The following is a 27438-nucleotide window of genomic DNA, read 5'->3' on the forward strand; positions in this document are numbered from 1 at the left end:
ATTTTTTACTCTTGGATGGATGTTCATACATAACCCCTGGCTCAAGTGAAATCAAAACCAACTTCTATTAAGTCTTCAAAGAGAAACCGTTATCTAAATACATGAATGATATAGATTAGCATCTCTCAAACCCATTAGCCATCCAACTTGCAGCTCTGTTGTACAAAGTGAAATGGCCTATGGGAGAGGTAGAGGGGCTTAAGGATGGCAGGAGAACTAGACTATGCAAAAGACATCATTTTCCTGTTGGGGAACACAAAGAAACTGGGAATCTCTATCATGATCCAACATTTGCTGACCTGAGGCCTTTCTGTCATATATACCAGCCTCACTATAACATTCCAGGCTCATTTCAATTTCCGAGACTCTACACTTACTGCTTTAAAATAATTTTCCTGAAATTTTCAGAACCACCTTAATGGTTCTAGGCCAAAAAAATGAATAAAAGAGAACTGCTATAGAAAATTCAAGTACAAGATTTCCTTGATACTGTATTAAAATATCATAAATGTTAGAAAGAGAACATTAAGACAAAAATTACCAGTCAAGTCTGAGGAGGAATATAGCAACATGAAAAAGGGTTCTCAGTCTAGCTGGAAGCAGTCAAAATAAAAAAATCAAGTAAACTTGGAATTGAGAAAGATTTTTTTTAAAGCAAAGTGAAGAATATTTTCCATAAAAATTCTGCCTTTTTCCCCTCAGAGAGGCTCAGAGATAAAGACCAAAGAAAATCTATAGCTTTGTTATTATGAAGTTCTTCCTGCTATCACAAACAAAACAGACAATGAAGTAACCGGCTGGCTTAAAATCTAGAATATGGAAGGTAAGAAACAAAGCAGCCGAAAACCAAATTTGAGAATAGTTTCAAGGGCAAAATGGGGTGGAAGAAGAAAGAAGAAAGAGGGGGAGGAGGGGGAGGAGGAGGGGGAGGAGGAAGGGGAAGAGGAGGGAGAAGAGGAGGAGGTGGAGGGGGAAAAGGAGGAGGAGGAGAGGGAGAAGGGGGAGAGTGAGGAAGAGGGAGAGGGGGAGGGGAGAAAGAGCGGGAGGAAGAGGGAGGGGGAGGGGGCAGGGAGGAAGAGGGGGAGGAACAGGGGAGGAGAGGGGGGAGGAGAGGGAGGAGGAGAAGGAGGAGGAGGAATAGGAGGAGGAGGAGGAGAGGAAGAGGAAGAGTAAGTAGGTTTAAGCCAATATGTGACTGGACAAAAAGGAAACAGAAAAACAGCAGGAGCTACATTTAAAGCAAACTTTCCCTGGTGAGCTCCCTCTGTTACCAGCCACAGGTAGAGACTGCAGAGACCCAAGGGAGGCGGGTGGGGCATCCGGGGGAGAAGAAACTTCACGTGAAGCCTGTGAGGGTCCCACATCAGCCAGGACAATGACAGCAGGAGTGAAGGAGCCTGCCACAGTTCCAGGCATTTGATTTCCACAAACAAAAATGAAGTCATTTGCAGGTACAGTAGCTCACGCCTGTAATCCCAACACTTTGGGAGGCTGAGGCAGGCTGTAAAGTGATCTTTACAGATGATCACTTGAGGTCAGGAGTTTGAAACCAGCCTGGGCAACAGAGCAAGACTTTGTCTCTACAAAAAATCTGGCTGGATGTGGTGGCATGCATCCGTAGCCCCAGCTACTCAGGAGTCTGAGGGGGGAGGATCACTGGAGCCCAGGAGTTTGAGGCTGCAGTGAGCCATGATGGCACCACTGCACACCAGACTGGGCTACTGAGCTTTTTTAGAGACCCTGTCTTCAAAAAAAAATAAAAAATAATAAAAAAAAAGGACTCACACAGCACATACATAGCCCTACAGCACCAAGAACAGAGCAGTCTTTATTGCTATCAAGGGGTGCAGTGGGGCTTTTATTCTTACTCAGAGATAACAATACTCAAGCTTTAGTGTCAAGCTTTAGCATCATGATTTCTTGTAAATCTGAGGAATATCATTTATTTGGTGGTTCAATGCTTCTTAAATGAAGGCCCTTAGGGTCTGGGTGCTAGGAGAAACCTCATCTCACCCAACAGATGACAGACTTCTCTTCATTAAATATGAACAGCTGGAGGACTCTGGCCTTTGTTTTACCCCTTTCTCCTTGCCTGTTGGGATGTCCTGAAACCTAGTGTTTTTGACAAGTTCCAATTTTCTATTAGTCCCAATTTCTAGGTGGACCTGTCCCTCTTCCCATATTGTTATTGAGTCCTTGTTCATTGAACTTTATAAAAATCGTTTTATTAAACTTGTATTTTTTAAAACACAAATACTTTTTGAGAGTAGGTGAGATGACTATAATGAGAAGAAATAATAATGACAATAAATAACTTAGTGCACACACTGTGTGCACCCAGGAATAAATTTTGTCCCCATGGATCACCCCAAGCACCGTTCTAGAGCACAAAGACGTGGCCTTTGCCTCCTTCCAGAATATACCCGTGCCTGGCCAGTACGCCGGGTGAGCTGTTTTCTGCAGACCTAGCCTTCCCCAAGACCGCTTTGTGCCTTGTGACCAGGGCTGCTCTTTCTTGGGAATTCCAGGCTCCACATCTCTTCCTTCTGTCCAAGAAGACATATTTATTGTAAGTTGAAGCCATGCAAGTCTTTTCTAGGTAAATAATTAACAAATTGATGCTGATGTGGAAAAACCTGCCCCTGATAATAATCCGCATAGAACTGCAAGGCGATAGGGCCCATCTGGACCAAGATTTTCCTTTTACAGAAGATACTAAAGCTGAGATATATGAAGCAACACATAAAAGATTCCTCAACCAACTGTATGAGAGCAAAGGGTGTTGATATTTTAAAGGTGATGCATGGGAAGGATAATGCTTTAAATACATTAATCTGAAATAGCAATCATTGCAAACTGTGTGCCAAAAATAGTTGAAAATGGCAACAATTTTGCCACCAATAAATGACCAATGAGGGAGACATAATCTTCTGCTGTCAATTTCAACAGAGTGGAGACCAAGGAAAGAAATGGAAGTTTCTACATTAGCTTCCTGTGGCTCCTGGCCCCACTGACCGCCTCCAAAAGGGAAGCTCGTTGGCGAGAAAACAGAGGAGACACAGATTCAGGTGAGAGAAGGCAGCCTGGGGGACCTAGGGAAGACACAAGAGACCTTGGCTTCCACCTAGGACCTTGGCACCAGCAGCAGGAAGAGCCACAGCAGGCTATTTTGGTATTTCTACAAATTTTAATGAAAGTGGAGAGGGAAGGTAATTCCATCCTAATTACTTGTGAACTAACCCCTGGGGGAAAAAAAAAAAAAGCAGGGAAGGGGAGATTTGACATAAGCAAAGGAAAAAAGCTAATCACATTTAGTCAAGATCTTTTATCTGAAGAGTTAGAGGAGAAGGGATGAGACATGCTGAGAGCTGATGACATATATGCATCTCCCCCACATCCCACAGAAGCGATAGAAACAGAGCCAAAACTTTCCTTTTTCCTCTGACTGGTAGGCGTGGAAAGAGCTGCTGAAGATGAGCAAGTGAGCAAGTGAGCTGGAGACGTGAGTAAGTGGGACTGACTCTTTGTGATGTCCCAGGCCTCAACCCTTACTTGAAGGCCATTATGAGAGCCAAGTATGATACCTCTACCCCTTGGGAAAACAATTAATTCCCCCTACACCAAGCGAGCCGGGCAAAACTCACATATCCATCCCAGGGCTCAGAAGAGCCACAAGAAAAGGGAACTTCAACAAAGGCTGCACAAAGCCCCTGGGGGTTCTTCCTCTCCTCCACCCAGCTTTTACACTACAAATAAACTAAACAGAGAAATACCCTGTCCTCAAAATATGCACAACAATTCTCAGTCAAGATGAGGAGAGAGCCAAGGAGAATCCACCCAAACTATGTTCGAGCAAACAGAAGGCTGGGTAGTCCCCTGCACGTAATGAGAAAAGATAAAAAAGAAATCATAGCAACCACATCCCAAGAATCAGAATAAAATTAAAAGAAAAAGTTAAGAAATAGCATCTAAAGCAAGAGAAAAAATGGGTCTGAAAGAAAATGTAACTCAAACAGAAGAAAATTTCTTAGACATGTTTCACACTTTATTAACAAGAATATGAATTTAATTTTTAAAAAGTCCAAAGAGAAAACAATAAAACAACAGAATAACATTAGCAGGCACACTGTGTGCTCGGAAAATAAATCAACAGCCAAAATGCACAGAAGTAATGCATTAGAAATAGGAAGGTACAGAATAGATATGTCAGAAAATCAAATTACTGACACAATAAAGGTTTAAGTAAAAGCAGATAAAAGACTAAGGGTGTTAAAAAAACAGAGATGCTAATAAATGGAGAAGACCTGTAAAATATATAATTGTGTCCATGAAACAGAGAATCCAATAAATGAAGCAAACAGAACTCAAAAATAAAGCATCCAAAAATTTCCCTGAAAGAACCCACAAAGCAAAACAGGAAACTGTACTACAGGAAAATCAGTTAAAGAACAACAGACGTTGGCCAGGTGTGGTGGCTCACACTTATAATCCCAGCATTTTGGGAGGCTGAGGTGGGCAGATCCCCTGAGGTCAGGAGTTCAAGACCAGCCTGGCGAACATGGTGAAACCCAATCTCTACTAAAAGTACCAAAAGCAGCTGGGCGTCGTGTCATGCACCTGTAGTCCCAGCTACTCGGGAGGCTGAGGTACGAGAAGCACTTGAACCTGGGAGGCAGAGGTTGCAGTGAGCCAAGAATGTGCCACTGCACTCCAGCCTGGGTGACAGAGTGATACTCCTCCATGAGAAAGAAGGAAGGTAGGGAGGGAGGGAGGGAGGAAACAATAGAAGCTGAGATGAGACATATCCTGATTAAGTGAATGTGATTAAAGACTAATGAAGGAATTTTTCAGGCATTCTGGCAAAAGCCGTTTACGAGAGAGACAAAGTAAAGTGGTCTTACACTTCACCAGATCATTTAATGCCAGAATATCTACAAAGTCCTGAGGAATGACAGTGTGTCCCATGAATTTTAAGCCCAGCTAAGCTGACTGTCCACGATGACAACAAGTATATACTCCATTCTCAAACACTTGCGACGTTTCTTGAAAAAATTTCTTGACCATACAATATAGCCAACTAAGAACTCAGGAATGGAAAGCTATTGGAAGAGGACTGCTGATGAATACATTAAATCCACTTAAATCCAGAACTGCAGAAACTGTAGTTATAAAGTAGAATGTAAAGGTTGTAACCCTGTCAAGGTCACAGTAACAGATTGCAGCCAGGCACGTGGCTGACGCCTGTAATCCCAGCACTTTGGGAGGCCAAGGTGGTCAGATCACTTGACGTCAGGAGTTTGAGACCAGCCTGACCAACGTGGTGAAACCCAGTCTCTACTAAAAATACAAAAATTAGCCAGGTGTGGTGGTACATGCCTGTAATCCCAGCTACTCGGGAGGCTGAGGCAGGAGAATCGCTTGAACCTGGGAGATGGAGGCTGTGGTGAGCTAAGGTTCTGCCACTGCACTCCAGCCTGGGTGACAGTGAGACTCTGTCTCAAAATAAATAAATAAATGATTGCTAACAAAAATCAGAAGATGAGACACAGAAGGCAGAAAGTGTAGCTGTGCTGATTTCGTTTTGTACTGAAATGTTTCAATCAAACTTACAAAATGTAGTAAAAAAAAAAAATATTTCCAACCACTTTTTGTTTTGCAAAAATCACTTTTTAACTTCAGCGAGATCTCTTGGGAACTAATGTCTCTCACAGTGAAGACACATTTTCTTAAAGTTCAGCAAATCCTTTATTATACTTCCGGTTTTTTTCTATAAATTTAAGCAAGATACATTTTAATTCTATAAGTAGAAATAGAATGTATAGTATATCTCATGTTGCACTGACTTATTCCCAGCTGGCAAGCAATTCTTCTATCTGCAGATATGCAAAGAAAATTGCCCAAAGTGATGTTCAACTCATGTTAATAAGGGTTAATTCTAGGAGGTGAGACCTGGAGTGACTTTTTAAATAATTTATTCCTCGTGCTGTTCTACACTGCTTAAACATCTTATAATAGCCAAGTATTACCTTTTACAAACTAAAAAGTCATGTTTAAATTATAAAATCCAAAAATAATCTTTCACTGAATCTTTAAACAAAATATAAAACATATGGTAGCTATATAAATATTTAGAAAACAGAGGCAAAAAAGGAAATACAAATCGCTTCCAGTGTCATCCTCAGTGTCAACCACAGTTCACAGTCTCCAGTCTGGGGATGGAAAGGAATTTATAAAGACAACATCAAATATTTATTAAGCAGCCCTTTATATTTTCTCCCAGTAACTTTATGGTCATGTTAATTGCATTTAATTATTTAATTGGAGTTTACTTTGCTTTTTTGGTGTGAAATAAGAATCACATTTTTTTCTGCTATGTTTGGCTAGTTGTCCTGACACCATGCCCTGAATAACCCCTTCTTTGGGTTTGAAATGCCATCTTTAATAAGGTTTTATGAAGCATTAAATACCCACAGGTATTTACCCTCTCGCATCCCAGTTTTTCAGAGACATCAACAGTCTCAGAAATGCCTTGACTGTGACATAAACTCCCTACTCAGCCTCCTGCTCCAGTGTCAGCTGTCCTGGCCAGATTCTCTTTGTGTCCCATTGTCCCCTGTCTGTATCTCTGCCACAGCGCCTGGCTCTGCATTTGCAGCTTCTGCTATTAGTGAAAGTAGGCACCGCATCTTCAATTCATCTTCTGATCCCCTGCACCTTGGTAGCATGTCTAGCACATGCAAAAGGCTCTCAAAACATCCTCTCCAGGTCACAAGTCTTCCGCCACCCATCCCTTCCTACCTCCACGAGCAAGGGACATCCAAATAGTAAAAGTCCATATGGTGGGCTGAGATGAATCAGCTCAAGGCAAACTGCCCTGGGATTTTTGTGTTCTTTTAAAACATTAACTGGAATCACGTTTCATTTCACCCGTTTTGAGGCTTGTAAGCTACTCATTTGACTATTCTCAATGAAACTTCCCTTCCTGTTTTCCTGTTTTATTGCTATTGTTAATTGCTTAAAATTCTGCTGACACTAAGGAAATAGCTGTTCATATATACCCAAGAGAATCCTGCTATTTCAGGCCCAGGAGTCCTACAGTGAGGACTTGTCCTTTCACCGAGCAGATACTTCTTTAGTGTAAGCACCACCTCAGCAAGCCTAACATGTCCAAGGACTCAGAGAATCAAAGCTCAGGACCCTGAACCCAGTAAGACATAGGCAGCTTCTTTGCCAAATGAACTTGCGATAACCTCGTCCTAGAAATGGGCATTCTAGCTGCTGAGAGTAATGATTTCACTTAATGCCTAATGCAAACCACATTCAGGTTCAACAACTGCATTCAGAACGCCGCAGGTTCAGTCATTCTGGAGATGTAATGTTTAATCAACCAGCGGCACTGTGCCATTCCAAAGGGAAAACCTACAGAGAAAGAGAGCAAAAACACTAAAAGAAGGTTGAAAGAAGCCAAAACTATAAAAACACTCACTTCAGGACTGGAGCCAGAGGAACACTGCAAACAATTATGCGATCATGCACAAAGGAGTATTCTACAAACTGGGAAAAGATCAATCTATTAGCCCACTCTACTTTGGATTACATCATGGCTAAAGGCAAGCTCCAGCTAATTAAAAGAAATTTACGAACTAGGGAATATGAAAAAGCTAAGGGAATTGAGAACTGCTATACCTTGGAAAGAAAAGACTAGGGGAGTTGTGATGACCACCTTCAAATATTTGAAAACTTATGATGTTTAAGAAGAAATAGACTTGTTCAGTCCTCCAGAGGCTAGAATTAGACCCACCAGGCAGAAAAGACATGGAAGCCGACTTCAGGCATAAACAATAAAGAACTTCCTATCCAGAGATGATCAACAAAGCAGCAGCTTGACTAGTAATGTAGGCAGCTTCCTGGTGCACACACACATTGCCTAGAGAACCCTACGTCAGAAAGACAGTCTCAATTAAGGGAAGATTAGACCAGATGACCTCAAAGGTCTAAGACTATTTGATTCTAATCTTCAAAAAACTTAGTTATAAGTGGGTTATCCTTTAAATTCAAACAGAGTACGCTCATGAACCAGAATTTTGAAAGGTATCAACCACACCCTTATACTGAACATTATGCCTTTCAATAATGTAAATTTACTAAGATTAAAAATCAAGGCTGGGCACGGTGGCTCACGCCTGTAATCCCAGCATTTTGAGAGGCCGAGGTGAGCAGATCACCTGAGATCAGGAGTTCAAGACTAGCCCGGCCAAAATGGCGAAACCCGGTCTCTACTAAAAATGCAAAAATTAGCCGGGCATGGTAATGGGCATCTGTAATCCCAGCTACTTGGGAAGCTGAGGCAGGAGAATTACCTGAACCTGGGAGGTGAAGGTTGCAGTGAGCAGAGTTCGTGCCACTGCACTCCAGCCTGGGTGACAGAGTAAGACTCCATCTCAAAAAAAAAGAAATAAAAAATCAGCTTGATCTTTCAAGATTTATAATTAGACAGTAGGATTTTCTATGTTTAAAACAAGCTGGTGAAATCACTTAGCTGGTTATCCTCAGCCAATATGTGCATCTGAGCCATCACAGCTTCTAAGATCCAACACCGCACAATCAAGGGCTTAAAGGCACACATCTAAAAACTTCATCAGCAGGCCTGAAAAATGAAACCCAGCTTAGTCTCATTGAGTAGCTACAAAAATGTGGGCTTGAAACCTTCTTGGTATAATTCTACACTTAAGTCTAAGATGATGCAGGTTACAATAAAAGATAGATTTGGATTCAATGCATTGCAGCCACCACTAGAACAGGACAGCAGGTGAAGGCAGCCTAGAGCCAATCAAGAACACCTTGCATAGCTCGCCAACTGTCAACGTGGGCTCTGCCACCACCAGCTCCTCTCTCCTCCTCAAGACTCAAGGCTGCTCACTTGCCTGGGAGTCTTGGTTCCTGCTATCCCCAAACCTGAGCCCCTCCGCAAGTCAGAATGAACATAACAGGCATTCAGTCATCTTTGTAGATCCTGGTGAAAACCCAGTCCTTCCTGCTTTTCACTTCTGAAGGTCAATATGCTTGTAAGGCAGTTTTCTAATTGCTCTAGGGAAAGGCAAATACAAATGATAAACTTTACGTGGAGAAAACAGAGCTGAATAAGAGAAAGGAGGCTTTGTACTCGGCAGGGGAAATGAAGGAGATGACGGGAAATGATATCAGTGTTCTAACACACATCATGCGGAGGAAGATAAACACGTGCGAACAAACCAACCTGAAATTCTGCATGAACTGCCGGAACTTGTCCACCCTTTTTGCTAGAGGCACGATAACATTGATAAGCGTGTTGGCCATGTTGAGCTTTTCATTTTTCACTTTCATGATGGGGCCGAATGGTCGAAATAAGATGAGCCGTTTGAATTCGTGTTTGTGGTCCCCTTTGAAGGTGAGCTCATACAATGTCCCTTTGTCCCTTTCTGTTCGGTAGATCCCTGTTAAGAGAAAAACAAGGAAAGATAGTTCTAAAAATTAACCTTGGCTGCTGAGTGTTTTTCAACCGAGATCTAGCACAGAATGCCTTTAAAAAGTGTTTAAGATGAAATCTCTCCAACAATTATTCGAAAATTCAAAATGCTCCCAATTAAAAAATTCCAAAAGAAGTCAAAATAGCATGAATTTTAAAATCACAGTTATGAAGACTGCATAAAAACATGGGAAAAAGCTTGAAATGCTGGATACAAACTGTATTCATAGGATACAGAGGCATTTGCAAAAGGATTTTTAGGAAACAGGCCAAAATAAGACTGACTATGATATAGAGTGGGATTATGTGTTTTTTTCTTTTCTTCTAGTATCCAAATTTCCTGCAATATGATTTGAAGAATATTAAAATAATTATACTTAATTTTAAAAATCAGCAATAAAATTATGTCTTAGAAATTAAACCACTTCAGCCTGGGCGCAGTGGCTCATGCCTATAAACCCAGTACTTTGAGAGACTGAGGTGGGCATATCACCTGAGGTTAAGAGTCTGAGAACAGCCTGGTCACTATGGTGAAACCCCATCTCTACTAATACAAAAGTTAGTAGAGCGTCATGTTGTGCGCCTGTAACCCTGGCTACTTGGGAGGCTGAGGCAGGAGAATCGCTTGAACTCGGGAGGCAGAGGTTGGAGTGAGCCAAGTTTGTACCACTTCACTCCAGTATGGGCAACAGAGCGAAACTTTATCTCAAAAAAAAAAAAAAAAAAAAAAAAAGGAAAGAAGTTATGTCCATTTCAGATGAACTGACCATAGTAATCTATTTGGGACCCCTGGGAGTAGCTCAGTTCTGGTCACATGGGTTGGGGGACCCTCTGGAAGCTTCTAGAAGCATTAAAATAACACATAAAATATTCAGTACAGTGGTATCAATACATGATATTTAGTTTCATATCTTCCTTCCCATCTCTAAACAGCATGACTCAGGGAATCAGAGCACAAACTATCAAGCCAAACTGCCTGGGTTCAAATCCTGGCCCCACAGGTTTGCTTTGAAAAATTACTTCATGCTCCTGTGCCTCATTTTCCCCAAAGGTTACTGTGAGGAGTGAATGTTTTTGTATGTGAAAGAAGTTAGAACAGTACAAGGCATGCAATAAACCCTCGATAAATGTTAGCCATCTTCACAACTCCCCTTTCTCTGAGAAGGTAGAGAGGCAGGAGAGAAGTCTAGGGACCGTGCAAACTGTGTCTCATCCCATGTCACTGTGGCTGAAACTCCACAGAGTGTCACTTGTCAGGTTGAAGATATGAACTCAGCATCTCAGCTGCCCTCTCAGAACAAGCCTCCCTAGGGTCTAGGTGACAGAATTTCCCAATGTAAGGATCAAATGATTTCCCTCATGCCTAAAGATCCATTTCCTTCCACTGTCTCTGGTATTATGAATGTTTTCTCTACAGTCAGGAAACACACACACATACACACACACACATTACAAAGGTAAAACCCAACAAATCAGAAAAGCTTTTGGGTTATACAGCAGTCCCCATTTTCTAGTTTCACTTTCTGCCATTTCAGTTACCTGAAGTACAATACCTTTTGAGAGTGAGAGAGAATCAGGGAGACACAGAGAGAGAGAGAGAGAAAGAGACCATGTTTACATACCTTTTATTACCTTATATTGTTATGATTATTCTCTTTTGTTATTGGTTATTGTTGTTAATCTCTTTCTGGGGGCTTAATTTATAAATTAAACATTATCCCAGGTATGTATGTATGGGGAAAAACATACAATAGCTAGGGTTCAGAACTCTCTATGCTTCTGGGCATCCACTGTTGTCTTGGAATGTATCCCCCAGGATGAGGGTGAATGACAGTACCATGGATTCTATTCATGTCTCCTTAATCCCCACAGTGAACCAAGAATGCACCTCCCAGTCACTGACTGGCTACAGAAATCAATCTCCAGGGAGAAATCTGACAAGTGACACTGTGTGGAGTTTCAGTTACAGTGACACGGCAATGGAATACAGTTTGAAAGGTACATAAATAGATTTCTCTCCTGCCTAGAGTCAGTTACAGTTTCTCAAGGTCTCTCACAAACCCCTCCTTTTTTCTTGCTCACTCTCCCTCTTCTTCTCTTTTGTGGGAACTACATGTCTTCCTCGCAAGTTCTCTTCTCTGTTTTTTGCCTTCTGGGAGCTTTTCATCCTATAGCACTGGTTTTATAGCCTCTTTGATCCTGTTCAAAGATTGGATTTCTTTGAGGTGCCACAGAGAGGAGTGTGGTCCTGTGAGTTTCCAAGGTAGTCTCGTGTCTCCCTGCTGTCCTCACAGCCCCACCTGAAAACCCAAACCCACAGTTCCCCAGCAGTGAACACAGCTATTTAAAGGCCGAGACACGGAGGAATTACAAGGACTAAGTTCCCTTTGGAAGCCTTCACCAATGCGTTGAGTAAAAGGGTATCCTGCTTGACTGCCCTCAAAGTCAGGCAAGCTGAGAGTTTTGCTGAGCTCATGTTGGAAAAGATTTCAAAGTCCCAGAGGGAAAAGCCATGGAAGAAAAGAAGGTTCATTTCTTAGAAAGCTCAAAGGACTTCTTTGAAAACGTTAAGTGTTTCCCTTCAAAGACGGTTCATTCCTTCAGGAATGTAGTGCTCACTGAGGCAACAGGCTCTTTTCCCATCTCTGATGCTGTCTGGGATCACAAGGTGAACCACCAACTCCCAGGGCCCAAATGAGGTGGGGCTGAGTCTGAAAGCAGCCACATTCACCATGGAGGGTGTATCCACACAGCACCCATATTCACTATGCAGGGCATAACTGCACAGCAGCCACATTCACCAAGGAGGGCCTATCCGCACAGCAGCCACATTCACCATGGGGGGCGTATCCGCACAGCGGCCACATTCACCATGGGGGGCGTATCCGCACAGCGGCCACATTCACCATGGGGGGCGTATCCGCACAGCGGCCACATTCACCATGGGGGGCGTATCCGCACAGCGGCCACATTCACCATGGGGGGCGTATCCGCACAGCGGCCACATTCACCATGGGGGGCGTATCCGCACAGCACACACATTCACCATGGAGGGCGTATCCGCACAGCGGCCACATTCACCATGGAGGGCGTATCTGCACAGCAGCCACATTCACCATGGAGGGCGTATCCCCACAGCAGCCACATTAGCCATGGAGGGTGTATCTGCACAGCAGCCACATTCACCATGGAGGGCGTATCCACACAGCAGCCACATTTACCATGGAGGGTGTATCCGCACAGCACCCACGTTAATCACAGAGGGCGCATCTGCACAGCAGCCGCATTCACCATGGACAGGATAGCTGCACAGCAACGACATTTGCCATGGAGGGCCTATCCACACAGCAGCCACATTCGCCGTGGAGGGTGTATCTGCACAGCGGCCACATTCACCACAGATGGTATCTGCACAGCAGCCACGTTTGTCACAGGCGGTGTATCTGCAAAGCATCCACATTCACCAGAGAGGGCCTAACTGCAGAGGAGCCATATTCGCCACAGAGGCCATATCTGCACAACTGAAACAGGTCTCCCCGTGTGGGTGACTGCATCTCGTTGAGTTTCTGTTATTCATGTCAGTAGCATAACTTCTCCACACAGTCATAAACACAGAAAATGCAGCTGACAGTTTAACGTACAGATAAAAATGTATGCAGGCAGAGGAATGATTTTTTTTTCCCAATGAAGTCATTTACTCAGAGGCAGGTTAAGAATCATTAACTTTTAAAAATCAAAATCCACAGAGATGAAAATACAGATAGCAATATACCTAAACCTGTCTCAAGAGATGGACATCTATTTATGAAGAACCTAGAGAATGCAGTAAATCTTATTCATAACAACTCCTATGAATACAGAATGCCAGCTGCCTTGGAGGTGCCTGCATCATCAGCCCAGGGTGACAGAGATCCCCAGCCATGGTCAGTGGTTCCAGGTATGGCACACTGCCCATCAGGAAGGTCACAGCACCCAGGCTCACCCCACACACCACAATTTATGCTGCTTTCTGTCTTCCACATACCATGCCTTGCAACAGTCATTACATCCATTTTTTAGCTGGTTTCTCTATACTCTGCTAATTATTTTCATTATATCCTATCAATCTGATTTGGGATCCCTTAATTTCATCAGTTTTCTTTTTTTTTTCAACTTTTAGGTTCAGAAGGAACATGTGTAGGTTTGTTACACAAGTAAACTGCATGTTGCAGGGGTTTAGTGTACAGATAATTTTGTCACCCAGCTAAACAGCATAGAGCATAGTACCCAATAGGTGGTTTTCCAATCCTCACCCTCCTCCTACTCTCCACCCTGAGTTAGGCCCCAGTGTCTAACGTTCCCTTCATTGTGCCCATGTGTACTCAATGTTTACCTCCCACTTACAAGTGAGAACATGTGTTATTTGGTTTCCGGTTTCTGCATTCACTTAGAATAACGGCCTCCAGCTGCATTCCTGTTACTCCAAAGAACATGATTTCATTCTTTTTTTCATGGCTGTGTAGTACTCCATGGTATACAAGTATCACATTTTCTTTATCCAGTCCACTGCTGATGGGCATCTAGGTTGATTCTATGGCTTCGCTATTGTGAATAGCACAATTTCATCTCTTTTAAAAACGTTATTTAAAACTCTCTTGCAACCTAAGTCCAGCAAAAGCCATACCCAGCCATCCACCCACCATACCCACAGGCACACATTCCCATCCCTGCACAGAGGGAGCAACTTTCAGTTGGTCTTCTTTAAACACAAAGGACGACACCTAAAAAAATCCTTTTGCCTCCTGGAGCTCTTTATTGGTGGAAACACAAAGGAACAGAGCAAACTTGGGCATGGGGGGAGGGGTGGTGAGGGAAGGGAAAGTATTCCAAGGCAGGAATGGTTTTTCAGCCAGTAAGCTGACACATGCAAATGGCAAGTACAAAGCAAAGCAGCCCCACAAACATCTTCCTTGTCATCTTGTGCAGAACAGCATCATTTCGTGCACTATGCAAATTAAAGATCAAAATCAGGACTTTGGAGCTAGCTTAGATCTTTGTTTAAACACCCTACCTGGCACCTCCGTGTCTTTCCTCCCTTCCATAAATGCTAAGCTTTCTTTGAGTTTGGTGTAATTACTCCTTGTGCAAGTATCCCAATGCCGGTCTTTTCCTACTCAATGGGCCAGGATCTAAGACCCCCAACTAGGTGGGGACATCTCCATGTATCCAAGACAGAGATCTGTAATCTATTCACACAAATGTCTATTCCTTCAGTAGGCCAGGAGCTAACCAGGTGCAGACCCCTCTCTGTGCCCTGTCTTCAACTGAGGACCTTGACAAGGGATAAGAAAGGCACCACTCCTGACTCAGATTCCCCGCCCCCACTGACATGCGTGCAGACGGGTTGTGACAGATGTCACACTACTGAGCCTATGCAGAATTTCTCTTTAAACTTTCTGCCTGCAAAACGTTACACATTACACTCATTCTCAACAGTCCCCATTCACCCACATTCATTCTCAGTCTCCACATTCATCCCTGCCTTCCCTACCTTCCTACATGGAGCCAAGGTCTCCCAGCTGGATAACAAGAAGCATCTGCCAACCCACATCCTGGCCTCTGGGGCCCAGTCGGTCCCACACATATATATTTTGGCCCTTATGTGTTCACAGCACCACTCAAACCCCACATCTCCCTAGCTCAAAGTTCTCGCCAGCATCCCATACCACAGAATAAAGTATCGATACCACAGTCCAGCCTTCAAGATGCTCCGTAATCAGGGCCCCACCTACTGTACTAGTTTCAAGTCTTGTTCTTGCCTTTTACAAAATCTGGGCACCAATCAAGCTGGTTTATATTAAGCACATATAACTACTGATTCCAGGGGTCCCCAAGCCACGGAATGGTACCAGTCCGTGGCCTGTTCAGAACTGTGCTGCCGAGAAGGAGGGGAGCAGTGGGTGAGTGAGCATGACTGCCTGAGCTCTGCCTGCTGTCAGAATTACATTCTTAACACCCTACTGTGAACTGCACATGTAAAGGATGTAGGGCGTATGCTCCTTATGAGAATTGAAATAATGCCTGATGATCTGAGATGTAACAGTTTCATCCCAAAACCACCACCTTCCCCTTGTTGTGGAATTGTCTTCCACAAAACTGGTGCCTGGTGCCAAGAAGGTTAGGGACTGCCGACAACTTTCTCCAGTTGCAGAAACTGGAATCCTGTGCACTACCGGCGGGAAGCAACATGGTGCAGCCACTGCGGAATGCAGTTTGGTACTTCCTCACAAAGTTAAACATAGAAATACCATATGATTCAGCAATTCTATGTATTTCTAGGTCTATATCCCAAAGAATTAAAAACAGGGGTCCTAACAGATACTTATGAACTCATGATCACAGCAGCATTATTCACAAAAGCCAAAAGATAAAAACAACTCACACCCCCATCAACAGATAAATGGATAAACAAAATGTGGTCCACCCATACAACAGAGTACCATTCTGCCTTAACAAGCATGGAAATTCGGATACATGCTACAACATGGATGAATCGTGCAGACATTATGCTAAGTGAAATGCGCCAGTCACAAAAAGACAAATACTGTAAGATCCCGCTGATAGGAGGTACTTAGAGTAGTCAAGTTCAGAGAGACAGAGTGTAGAATAGAGGTTGCCAGGGGCTGGGGAAGCAGGGACTGGGGAGTGAGTGTCTAATGGGTACAGAGTTTCTGTTTGAGAAGATGAAAGTACTCTGAAGATGGATGGTGGTGATGGATGCGCAAGAATGTCAATGTACTTAAGGCCACTGAACTGTCCACTAAAAAATGCTTTAAATGGTGAATGCTATACGTATTGACCACCATAACTGCTGTCCTCTGAAAAAGTCTAGCAGTTTCTCACAGACACAGCCCATGCACATGTCTATGCTTCCACCTTCCCCTTTTAAATCTGATCCTTCTGCTATGGGAAGATTCCCAGGACATTCTCAATGCAAAGCCGTCTCTCTTCTTCAGGCACTTCTGTCTTAGAGCTTTAAACTCTCTTCCTAAACTACTGTTTGGGCACCTGACAACATGAAAAGATCTTGGGCATCCCCCTGTCCAGGCTTACCATTTCACAGATGAGCAAAATGAGACCCAGAGAAGATGTGATACGCTTGTGTTAGCCTAACTGGTCAATGAAGGCCTGGGATAAACCCCCACTGAAGGATTTACCCCCTGGAGTCACTTTTCATATGCAGAAGAAGATAACTCAGCACATAGAAAAGAATCCAGATCATGAAAAGAGCATCCAAGAAGTCAGAATAAACAAGGTAAAGTCTGTAGCAAAACTCACTGTACCCAGAGATAACCCTCACACCTACCCTTACAGAATTCCTTTAACCTTACCATAGAATTTTGACAGTTGTTTAAGTAAAAGCTATCTGAAGTTCCAATCTCCAACACACTGAAAAGGGTAAATTTTGAAAGGGGGGATTTTTAATGGAAAAAAAATATACATGTTCAACAAGAAAACAAAGAATATTTGGGAAAAGAAAATCTGTAACAGGCAGAAATGCTGAGAGTGGTAAATACTGTCAGGCAACCAACTGACAGAAGGGAGAGGGCAAAACACTACTTTCTTTTAATTATCAGTGTCTGAAATCATTTAATATACTTCATCTTAGCCAAAAGGCTGAGAAGCGATGATCATTTAAGATAAAGAAAAAACACTTCAGCCATGTAAATTGCCTATGAAGACATCCCCGCAATAGCACAAATCTGTTTACGCTTTGCACCATAAACACACATTCTGCTTACTCTGTTCAAAAAAGGAACCGGTAAATGCTTAGTATTTTACTCTAAAATAGTATTTTTTATTTTTTATACTATTTTGTTGTCTCACTTATCCAGAAAATTCTGCTCAGATGGCATATCGCATTCCCAGATCACATGAGATAAATGAGACACTATTACAGTGCCATCACCTGTCAGCTGTTTTTATAGGTAAAGTAGTAAACTTGTGACATTTGTGGAAGAGATGTCCTAAGACTGCTATAAATCCTCACATGCTCAGACGCTAGAAGGCAAATCACTCACCCCATGAAATGCAACAGAAATTATCTACTTGAAGGCTGTCTTCACATGTGGGGCCACAGAAATGTCCCTACTTTCCCGTGCATCACAGTTCACCTATGTTCAGTGGCTCTGGACTTGTCCTCACTGGTTTTATTTCTGTTTCAGCTGCCACTGAAAGTTTCTTTTACCTGATAAGAAATAGTTGCAGCGACTGGTAGACTTGCTGAAGAAATTCATACAACCCCTTTTCTTATTTCTCTACACTGCATTTGTTGTGTATTTGTTTATGTCATAGATGCAGGCTGACAAATCCAGTATCTGGTTCCTAATCCATCAGAAATGTCTAAGAACTCACTTAGAGTGCCTTCTCATTTCACCATTGGTACTAGCAGCTGACTTTTTTTTTTTTTTTTTTTTTTTTTTTGAGACGGAGTCTCACTCTGTCACCCAGGCTGGAGTGCAGTGGTGCGATCTCGGCTCACTGCAAGCTCTGACTCTCGGTTTCACAGTATTCTCCTGCCTCAGCCTCCTGAGTAGCTGGGACTACAGGAGCCCGCCACCATGACTGGCTAATTTTTTTTATTTTTTAAGTAGAGACAGGGTTTCACCATGTCTGCCAGGATGGTCTCCATCTCCGGACCTCATGATCCACCTACCTCGGCCCCCCAAAGTGCTGGGATTACAGGCGTGAGCCACCTCACCTGGCCAGTACTAGCAGTTGACTTCCTTTTCAGAGCCCTTCTTCCCTTGCAGAGAACTGCAATGTATTTCTCACCTCATGAAGACCATCAGGCAATCAACAATGAGTAGAAAATGAAGGCAGGTTAGGATTCCAGCACTGAAGTAGAAGCCTGGGTTCCTCCTCAAGTGGCCTGCCAGCCTCGCGGAGTTCAAATGCAAATGACCTGGTTAGTTTTTTTTTTTATTAATTTTTTTCGCATGGCTAATATTAATGATGGATTGTATTCTATATCAGAGATATAAACATGGTCCAGGCAGGGTGGCTCATGCCTGCAATCCCAGAATTTTGGGAGGCCAAGGCAGGTGGATCACTTGAGCCTAGGAGTTCCAGATCAGCCTGGGCAACATGGTGAAATCCTGTCTCCACAAAAAATACTAAAAATTAGCCAGGCATGGTTGTATGCCCCTGTAGTCCCAGATAGTCAGGAGGCTGAGGTAGGAGGATCACTTAAACCCAGGAGTTGGAGGCTGCAGTGAGCTGTGATTGCGCTGCTGCACTCCAGCCTCAGCAACAGAGTGAAACCCTGTCTCATAAAATAAAAATAAAAAAGATGAACATGATAAAATCACTGTGCTTTCAGGATTCACATTCTAGAGAGAAAGACAGGTAAACAGAACAGGACTCAGATGATAAATGCTTAACAGAGTCTGCCCATGGTATAAGGGAACAAAAAGGAGGGCATCTCCACCTACTGGAGGGTCTGGACAGTTTGATAGCAGATGTTTTTTTACCAGAACTGAAGACTGAGCATGTGTTGGCCAAGACAACAACATCAGAGCGAGCATTTTAAGGAAAGATAATCGTGGAAGCAAAGGTAAGAAAAACCAGCTTGTTATGTTTGGCCACCTTGAGGCAGTTCGGCAAGGCTGGAGTGCAACAGGCAGACACGAATGGGGGGATGGGAGAATGCTGGAAAGGCCGACGTGGAGCGGGACGAGGGGTCACATCATGTGGATCCCCTAAGTCACCTTCACAGGTGCAAACCTGTCCTAGAGGAAAGGGGAGCCGGGTCAGCGTTTTAGCATGGGAGAGGTGAGATCTTTCAGGATATTCACCTTAGAGCAGTGTGGGGCGCAGGTGGATGATGGCAGGGAACGAGATCAGAGAGCAACAAGGAAAGAACCACGATGGTTTAGCAGGAAATGACAAGAGCCTGAACTAAGATGGTGGCAATGGAGGTGGAAAAAAGCTTGAGAGAATGTTGTTAGAAAATGTCATGGCAGGTGAGGGAGAGGGAGAAAAGGAGGCTGACTCGAGTTACAGGTGAGACAGGGATTATGAGCTAAGCTTTGGACGGGCTGATTTGAAGAGGTGTATGAGTAGATTGGAAGCTTGGCGGGCAAGCCTTTTGTAGACATACAGATTTAGACATCCCCACTGTGTAAGCTGAAGCTGTGGATGTGGGTCAGGTCAGCCAGGAAGAGTCTGTAGATTAAGAAGAATGAGCTCAGGATGCAGGCTCAGGATATGCCAAACCTTCAGGTGCACAGTGCATGGATGTGCAAGGGTCACTGAGAAGTCCCAATGACAGAAGCACTCAGAGGGGCAGAAGACAGCAGCATCAAGGAACCCAACAGATAAGTGAGGGCCTGCTCAACAGTGCCAACCACTGCACCAAGGTTAACTAAGATAAGGATGAAATTGGCCCACTGCCCTGAGTGCGGTGGCTCATACTTGTAATCCTAGCACTTTGGGAGGCTGAGGTGCAAGGATCACTTGAGGCCAAGAGTTCGAGAGCAGTCTGGGAAACACAGCAAGACCTTGTCTCTAGAAAAAAATGTAAAAATTAGCAGGGCATGGTGCTGTGCACCTGTAGTCCCAGCTACTTAGGCGGTGCAGGCATGAGGATCCCTTGAGCCCAGGAGATCGAGGCTACAGTAAGCTGTGTGTGCACCACTGCACTGCAGCCTGGGTGACAGAGCAACACCCTGTCTCAAAAAAAGAAAGAGAAAGAAAAGAAAAAAGAAATAGCCCTCTGGATGGGGCAAGGAGGAGACCATCCACAGGTAGTCTTATCAATAAGTTTCAGGGGTGTAAGACAGCCTGGGATAGATTTGAAAAATGATAAGGGATGAAGGGGCAGCAGTGAGTTGAGTGTTTTTCCTTCAATTCCTTGAAAATGTCAAGTTTATTCCCACTTCAGAACCTCTGCCCTTTCTTTCTGCTCTGTCTGGGACACTTCCCCAGGTCTGGCACGGCTACATCCTTCCTACCATGTAGGTCTCCGCCCTGAAGCCACCTCCTCAATGAGGCTTTACCTACTCTCAGTCTCTGAAGCCCCCCACCATCCCACAGACACTCTCTGTTACCTTTTCACACGACCCCATTCTGGGTTTTTCATCGCACATTATCTGAATGTGTTTACTGCTTATCTATGCGTTACTCTTCCTGCCATGGGAAGGTACACTCTGTGAAACCAGAACTTGGTGTCTGCAACCCTAATGAATATTTGCTTCACAGAAGGAGAAAGGGAGGGAGGGAAGAAGAAAGGGAAGGTGCTTGGCTAAAAAGGGAATAAATGCAATAGGGTAGAAATCAGAGGAATTACCGAGTTGACAGAATGTTTTTTAAAAATATTGGAAAAAGCAACATACTTCCTTCATATGCTGATAAAAAGGAACAAATAGAAATGGATAATACAGATGCAGGGACGGAGTGAGAAGGTGAGAGGTGGATGGGACCTACAACCCCGCAAAGTACTTGGTATCAGACAAAGAAGGGTTACCTAGTTCCCACAATGGGGATGGAGCAGAAGGCTAGGGATACAAATAGAGAAAGCTTGGGGCAAGGAACCACAGGAGCTCATGGCGCTAAGTCGTTAATTTCTTGGTGAAACAGAATGAGGGAATTAAAAGTAGAATAATGGGTTTATGAGGAGTGCTGGAGGCTGGGATGGGACAGTGAGCACGGAGATGAGTAAGGATGTGGGAAACAACGCAGAGGTGCAGGCAGCGAGGCCAGAGAGCATGAATTTGCACTGACATCAGCACGCGCATTCAGTGACTTCTCTCCAGCAGCGTGAGGAACACAGGCAACAGAGGAAACAAGACGGTGACTCACTGAGCTTGGACTGGACTCTGCAGACAGGTGTGAGGGCAAGGAAGGCAGGCACTGGGAAGCGAGTGGCGGAAGTGTTAACAGGTAGCTGGGCATGAGCGGGGCAGGAGAGGGCTCTACCCTAGAAATGTAAGGGGATGATTCGGCAATCATCTCATTGCCTCTCTAAAAATGAAAATTTGGCAGTGCCACAGAGAGGCCACTTCCTGATGATCCACACCCGTTAACATCAAAATGCTAACTGAACGCAGGCCCTAAGGAGAAGCAATGTCCTGGGAACATGTGTTAAGAGACAAAAATGCGCTGGACGTGGTGGTTCACGCCTATAATCCCAACACTTTCGGAGGCTGAGGTGGGCGGATCACCTGAGGTCAGGAGTTCCAGACTAGCCTGGCCAATGTGGTGAAACCCCGTTTCTACTAAAAATACAAAAATTAGCTGGGCGTGGTGGTGGGTACCCATCATCCCAGCTACTTGGGAGGCTGAGGCACGAGAGTCGCTTGAACCTGGGAGGTGGAGGTTTCAGTGAGCCAAGATCACACCACTGCACTCCAGCCTGAGCAACAGAGCAAGACTCTGTCTCAAAACAAAACAACAAAACAAAAGGAGAGAGAGGGGAGAGAGAGAGAAAAAAAAAGGTGAAGTATGATCTTGGGGCACACTCCACCGGAAAAGGGAAGAAAGCCTCCAATGGGCATGCGTATCACTCACTAAACGCACTGCGCTTGCTCAATGCCAAAGGGTAAGGAGAACACTGCGCATGCGGAAAGCCTACCCTAAGGGGTGAATCATGGGGAAGAGGCGAGCCTATAAAATCCCAGGATCAAGTTTAAAGGTCTCCCTCCCTCCTTTTCTTTTTTTTCATTCCTGTCTTCTTTTGCTCTCTTTTCTCTCTTGGACCCTCAGGTACCCACTTGGGTCTCTTTCAAGTGAATGTTCCTTTCGTTCCTGTTCTAAAGCCTTTTAAAATGAACTTCCATTCCTGTTCTGAAACTTGCCTTAGTCTGTTTTTCTGCTTCATGCCCCTCAGTCGAATTCTTTCTTCTGAGGCGGCAAGGACTGAAGTTGCTGTGGACCTGTAGGGGTTCGACGCCGGTAACTCAGGGTAACTCCTATCTCTTCCACCGGTAACAGAGGGGTTACATTATGGGGTCCAGGTTGAGAGAGGAGCAGAGGAGCCTAAGGAAAGGTAGAGTACAAGGACAGGAAAGGGTGAAAGCTTAGATGCAGTGAGAGTAAACAACAAGGCTGAAGTGAGAAAACTCAACGGAAGAGATGGGGAAGAAACAGATTCTGAGGATGTTTAAGTCTAACTTGCTCCAGGTGATCAACAGCCCCAGAATGAAGCTGTCCTGGAAACTGGGCCTCTGCACTTTTCTCCCTCAATGCTGTCTCTAGAGCTGGCTGGACCCAGATATCAGGCTGCTCAAAACAACTCCACAGATCTCTTTTTCACCTTCACTTCCTATTGTTGAAGAACTGTGGGTTTCTAATGAAGAAATGGCAGATCCATCTATTCCCATCATCTTACCTTAAGACACCAAGGGTTAGAAATTACACTTGCAGGATGCCTACTTGGACTCAATGGAGTTTAAGAGGCCAGTCAGCAAGGGTAGAGGCAAAGATATTAGGGAGTTCTACAAAGATTCCAGAACAAACAACATGCAAGGAGGGGAAGTCACAGCTGCCATTATTAGGGCCAGTTTCCAAACAGCTGTAGGACTTCCTCTGCAAACACATTCGAATGTATATCCAGGATGTCGTGGGAAAGCACAAAACTTAAGATACAGGCAGAAGCAATAAGCAGGAACCAAAAGGTCAAAGACCAAGGAATGTGTGACCAAGCTATTGTCTTTGGCCAACCATTGACCTCGTCCATATGCAACTTACCACCAAAGTAGAGGATGTGCAGTCTAACTGAAATTTCCATCACTCTGACTCACGTCCATTTTTCAAACCCTGTTCACAAATATTATCTTGATTTTGAAGTATCTTTCAAAGAGGTAAGCCATTTACTCATTTTGAAAAAGTTAAAGTAACCAATTCAAGGTTGCAAATGCTATGCTCCCAGACCAAAGGGCACACGAGTAAGAATCTGAGACCAATGTCAAAGTACAGCTCTTTCAAGGTGAATCAACTCGGCAATCAAAAGGATGTTTTAACTCTTCTTTCTTTTCTGTTCTTCCTTTCTTTTTGAGACTGACTTGAGAATAGAAAAACATAAAGATGCTTCAAAAAGCTTATCAACTTTCCAAAGCATATCAGAAAAGTCTTAAAACTCATCTTTGAAGAGTAAGATAATATAATACTCATTCATTGATATCAATTTCTTTATATTTAAAATATGGAATAATACTTCTTCATAGGGTTACTTTGAAGATTAAATAAATATATGTAAAACATTCATGCCTGATACATAGGAAGTACTCAGTGATGTTAGAAATAACTATAATAATTGTTCTTACTATTATTATCATGTCATTCTACTTTGTTCCATCAATCATTTAATGTATTACTGCTCTCAGTCAAACAGGTCAGGACTCCATAGCAAGTACTTCACTTGCTCTACCGGCATTAAATATGCTTGAAAGCAGAATGCAATTGCTAGTTTTTTCAAGTCGCCACTGTGGACCCAGAGATGTAAAGATTTTTGATATTCTGGTAAAAAGCCTCAGGATATACAAATTAGCATATGTAATATTCGGGTCAAGGCAATGTTTTAGCAAGATTGCTAGAGGATTTTTTTGATATTGCTTGAAAAACCCATTTCTAATGCATAATATCAACTGAAAATTTCAAATGATTAACCCGAAAGCCCTTTGTCACTTACCATGACCTTTCATCTCCCCTCCCAATCATCTGTTCTAGTTGTAAAACCCTGCCTTGTATAACACCTACATCACCATCCGCCGTCACTAACATGATTATCACAGGGTCCTTCCCAGACACACAGAGTCTCCTGGCTCTTCCAGACAGCCTTCTGTGGTTGACCAACACCCATGGTACAGACTTGCAGCCTAACCCTGGCTTCACCACTGACTTTCTACCACCTTAAATAAGATATTTAATGACTCAGGTTTCCCACTTCCTAGTCTTAAAAATTAGACCACAGTATCTGTTCAAAGCCTCAACATCAACTGCTTTGTACTTCAAGAAAAGTCAAAAGTAGTGTCTCTTAGAAGCATTGGTTTTGTTGGAATGACTCATCTAATTAATTAGTGGTGGAAATTCATTTTAGCTTTACAAATAGGCTATAAAGTTTAATCCACTGGATATTTGGGGAAAATATATATGTATTTCTGTGGAACTTCTAAATGACAGAGAAACCACAGCAAGCTGAAGATCAAGAAAAGAATTATAAGCCCAGAAAACAGGTCACAATTTTCTACTATAATAAAATGAATTGACCTGTATTCATCTATGCCAGTAGAAACTGGTAAGCTTGAGAAAATACAGGTTCTTGGGCCTATTAAATTGAGGTCTGAGGACTAGCTTTTGGAAACCATTCATTTATCTCAAACTGGTACATTGTAAGCCTTTAGTAAATCTTAGTAAAAAAGAACTAGCCATTACAATAAATAATAACAATGGTCCAGATCCATGGAGCTTCTGATGAGAGATAAGCTACGACCAATGCCAGCTAAACAGGTGCTATAACAAAGCCTGGATTTCTTGTCTCTGTGGGCTCCATGGAAGTCTTCAAAAGGGAAAGAAACCAACACTCCCACCAACCTAGGAAAACAATCTATGTGAAAAGCACATTTGTAGACCCAATTCTTCCTCTACCCTTTGAATATCTACTTTCCAATATAAAGAAAGTTGGAAACTATTATCAAAACTTTGGCAGTATTTTTAAAATTTACTTATTTATTATTTATTTATTTATATTTGGAAATGTATAGAGCAGGTAGTGTTTTAAGTGGAATCGAAATAACATATCATTTCTTGCAATCATTGTAGGGTCTTAAGGGCAGTGACTAAAGCCCAGATGATAGTGAATGGAGAGATATGCTTCGGCTGACCCATCAATCCAATAACTTATTCACTCAAGGACCCATCAATAAGCACCTTCCGGCCAGGTGTGGTGGCTCACACCTATAATCCCAACACTTTGGGAGGCCCGAGGTGGGTGGATCAATTGAGGTCGGGAGTTCGAGACCAGCCTAACCAACATGGCAAAACCCCGTCTTTACTAAAAATACAAAATTAGCCAGGTGTGGTGGCACAGGCCTGTAATCCCAGCTACTCAGGAGGCTAGGTAGGAGAATCACTTGAACCTGGGAGGCGGAGGTTGCAGTGAGCTGAGATCGCACCATTGCATTCCAGCCTGGGCAATAAGAGTGAAACTCTGTCTCAGAAAAAAAAAAAAAAAAAGAAAAAAAAAAGAAAGCAACTTCCATTTTTGGTAACAGACTAGAATATACAAAGATGAATAAAAACATAGACCTTGCTATGGAAAGGGCTCAAATTTGCAGCACAGAAACAGAAGTGAGCAGCTATAACACCGTGGTCAGGGCCAGGGGTGCACTGCGAGAAATCCCTAACTCTGCTGGGGAGATTTTGAGAAGGGCACCCAGACAGGGGAGTCTCTAAGTTAAGAAGGAGGAGCTGTAGAGCAGGCACACTTAACAGGGGTTGGATGAGGAAGATTCTCCAGGCCACTTGACCAGAGTGTACAAGAGTATGGAGGAAGAATATGGCACAATCAGAAAAATGCAGAAGCCGAGAAAGTCTGGGAAATAGACCAGGTAGAGAATGCAGTAAGACCTGAAGCTGAAGGGCCAAGAAGGCAGCCTGTGAGTCACATAAGGAGGTCTCACCATTTGCCACCACGAGGGTTTTGGGGTCTGTTTGGATCTTGGTTTGGTGGTTTGCTTCTATGTTCAGACAATCCCTACAGCTAAAACAAAATCTGTAACAATCTGAATATTAAGCTGTACAAAAGTATGTTCCAATCACCATAAAGTTTTGAAGGAAAGCCCCCGGAGAACAGCTTTCAGTCAGAAGCATCAATCTTGTGCCACACTTCCCTCCACAACCTTGGAAACACAGACACAAACACAGACACACCCTCCACTGATCACCAAGGGAAGATAATGACACACAACGAGTAAGTAAAAAGTGGTTTCCTTTGAGGTGAAAAGCACACAAGCAAACAACTTAAATACTGAAGATGAGGTTTGTCAACCCAACAGGAACATCCTTTTTCACAGAATAATCTGCTCAGAACGCCAAACTATGTTTTGGTCACGCTAAACTCCTGTGTTGTGGCAAGTCATAGAGTGACAGCTCAGATGACAAAGCCAAGCAATGGCCTTACAGAGACAGCCTGGCACGTGAGAAAGAGAGAACTGAATTTCCATTCCATTTGACCATTAACTTACTCTAAGACTTTGGGCAAAGTCAATTCTCAAAGCCTCCATTTCCACAACAACACAGATACTAAATGAAACATGACTTGCCATGTCCACGAGAAGCAATGAAACAGAAGAAAGACAATTGTAATCTTAGGATTTTGACAGCCACCGCCCCTACAAAATTCCTACAGTAACTTTATTAATGTATCCTATGACTGAGGTTGTACCTCTCTAAAGAATAAAAACAATTGAATAAGATGTCAACTGAATATGGCCATTTTTCAGATGATAGTTTAAGAAATTTTTTAAAACTTGGCCTATAGGAATAGATAATACATAGCCAATTTGAGTGTACTCCCCCAGTTTTTTGTTTGTTTTTGGTTTTTTGAGATGGAGATTCACTCTTGTTGCCTAGGTAGAGTTCAATGGCAAGATCTCGGCTCACTGCAATCTCTGCCTTCCGAGTTCAAGCGATTCTCCTGCCTCAGCCTCCCCCAAGTAGCTGGGATTACAGGTGCCCACCACCACGCCTGGCTAATATATTCTATTTTTAGTAGAGATGGGGTTTCGCCATGTTGGCCAAGCTGGTCTGGAACTCCTGACCTCAGGTGATCCACCCACCTCACCCTCCCAAAGTGCTGGGGTTACATGTGTGAGTCACCACATCCAGCCTCCCCAATATTTTTTTTCAAATCAGTCATGACGCCCAAATTCTTTGGCAATGTCCCCTCCTCTTGA

General features: G+C 43.4%; 1 protein-coding gene across 61 annotated transcripts in view; it reads right to left on the reverse strand.

Moving 5' to 3' along the window:
• CSGALNACT1 (chondroitin sulfate N-acetylgalactosaminyltransferase 1) overlaps positions 1–27438 on the reverse strand; it is a 353748-nt gene that overhangs the window by 45009 nt on the left and 281301 nt on the right. For 56 of the 61 annotated variants that reach the window (NR_148897.2, NR_148900.2, XR_007060745.1 and 53 more), the window contains one exon: positions 9257–9473. Coding sequence is in view for 53 of the 61 variants with exons in the window: in NM_001354476.2 (NP_001341405.1) it covers positions 9257–9473 (217 nt within the window). In the remaining 8 variants the exon portion in view is untranslated. Of the gene's footprint in view, positions 1–8360; positions 8648–9256; positions 9474–27438 lie in introns of all 61 variants that reach the window. The other 5 variants (NR_148898.2, NR_148899.2, NR_024040.3 and 2 more) reach the window with 1 other exon arrangement.

The sequence above is a fragment of the Homo sapiens genome, chromosome 8, assembly GCF_000001405.40.
Source record: "Homo sapiens chromosome 8, GRCh38.p14 Primary Assembly".
In the NCBI taxonomy this organism is placed as follows: Eukaryota; Metazoa; Chordata; class Mammalia; order Primates; family Hominidae; genus Homo; species Homo sapiens.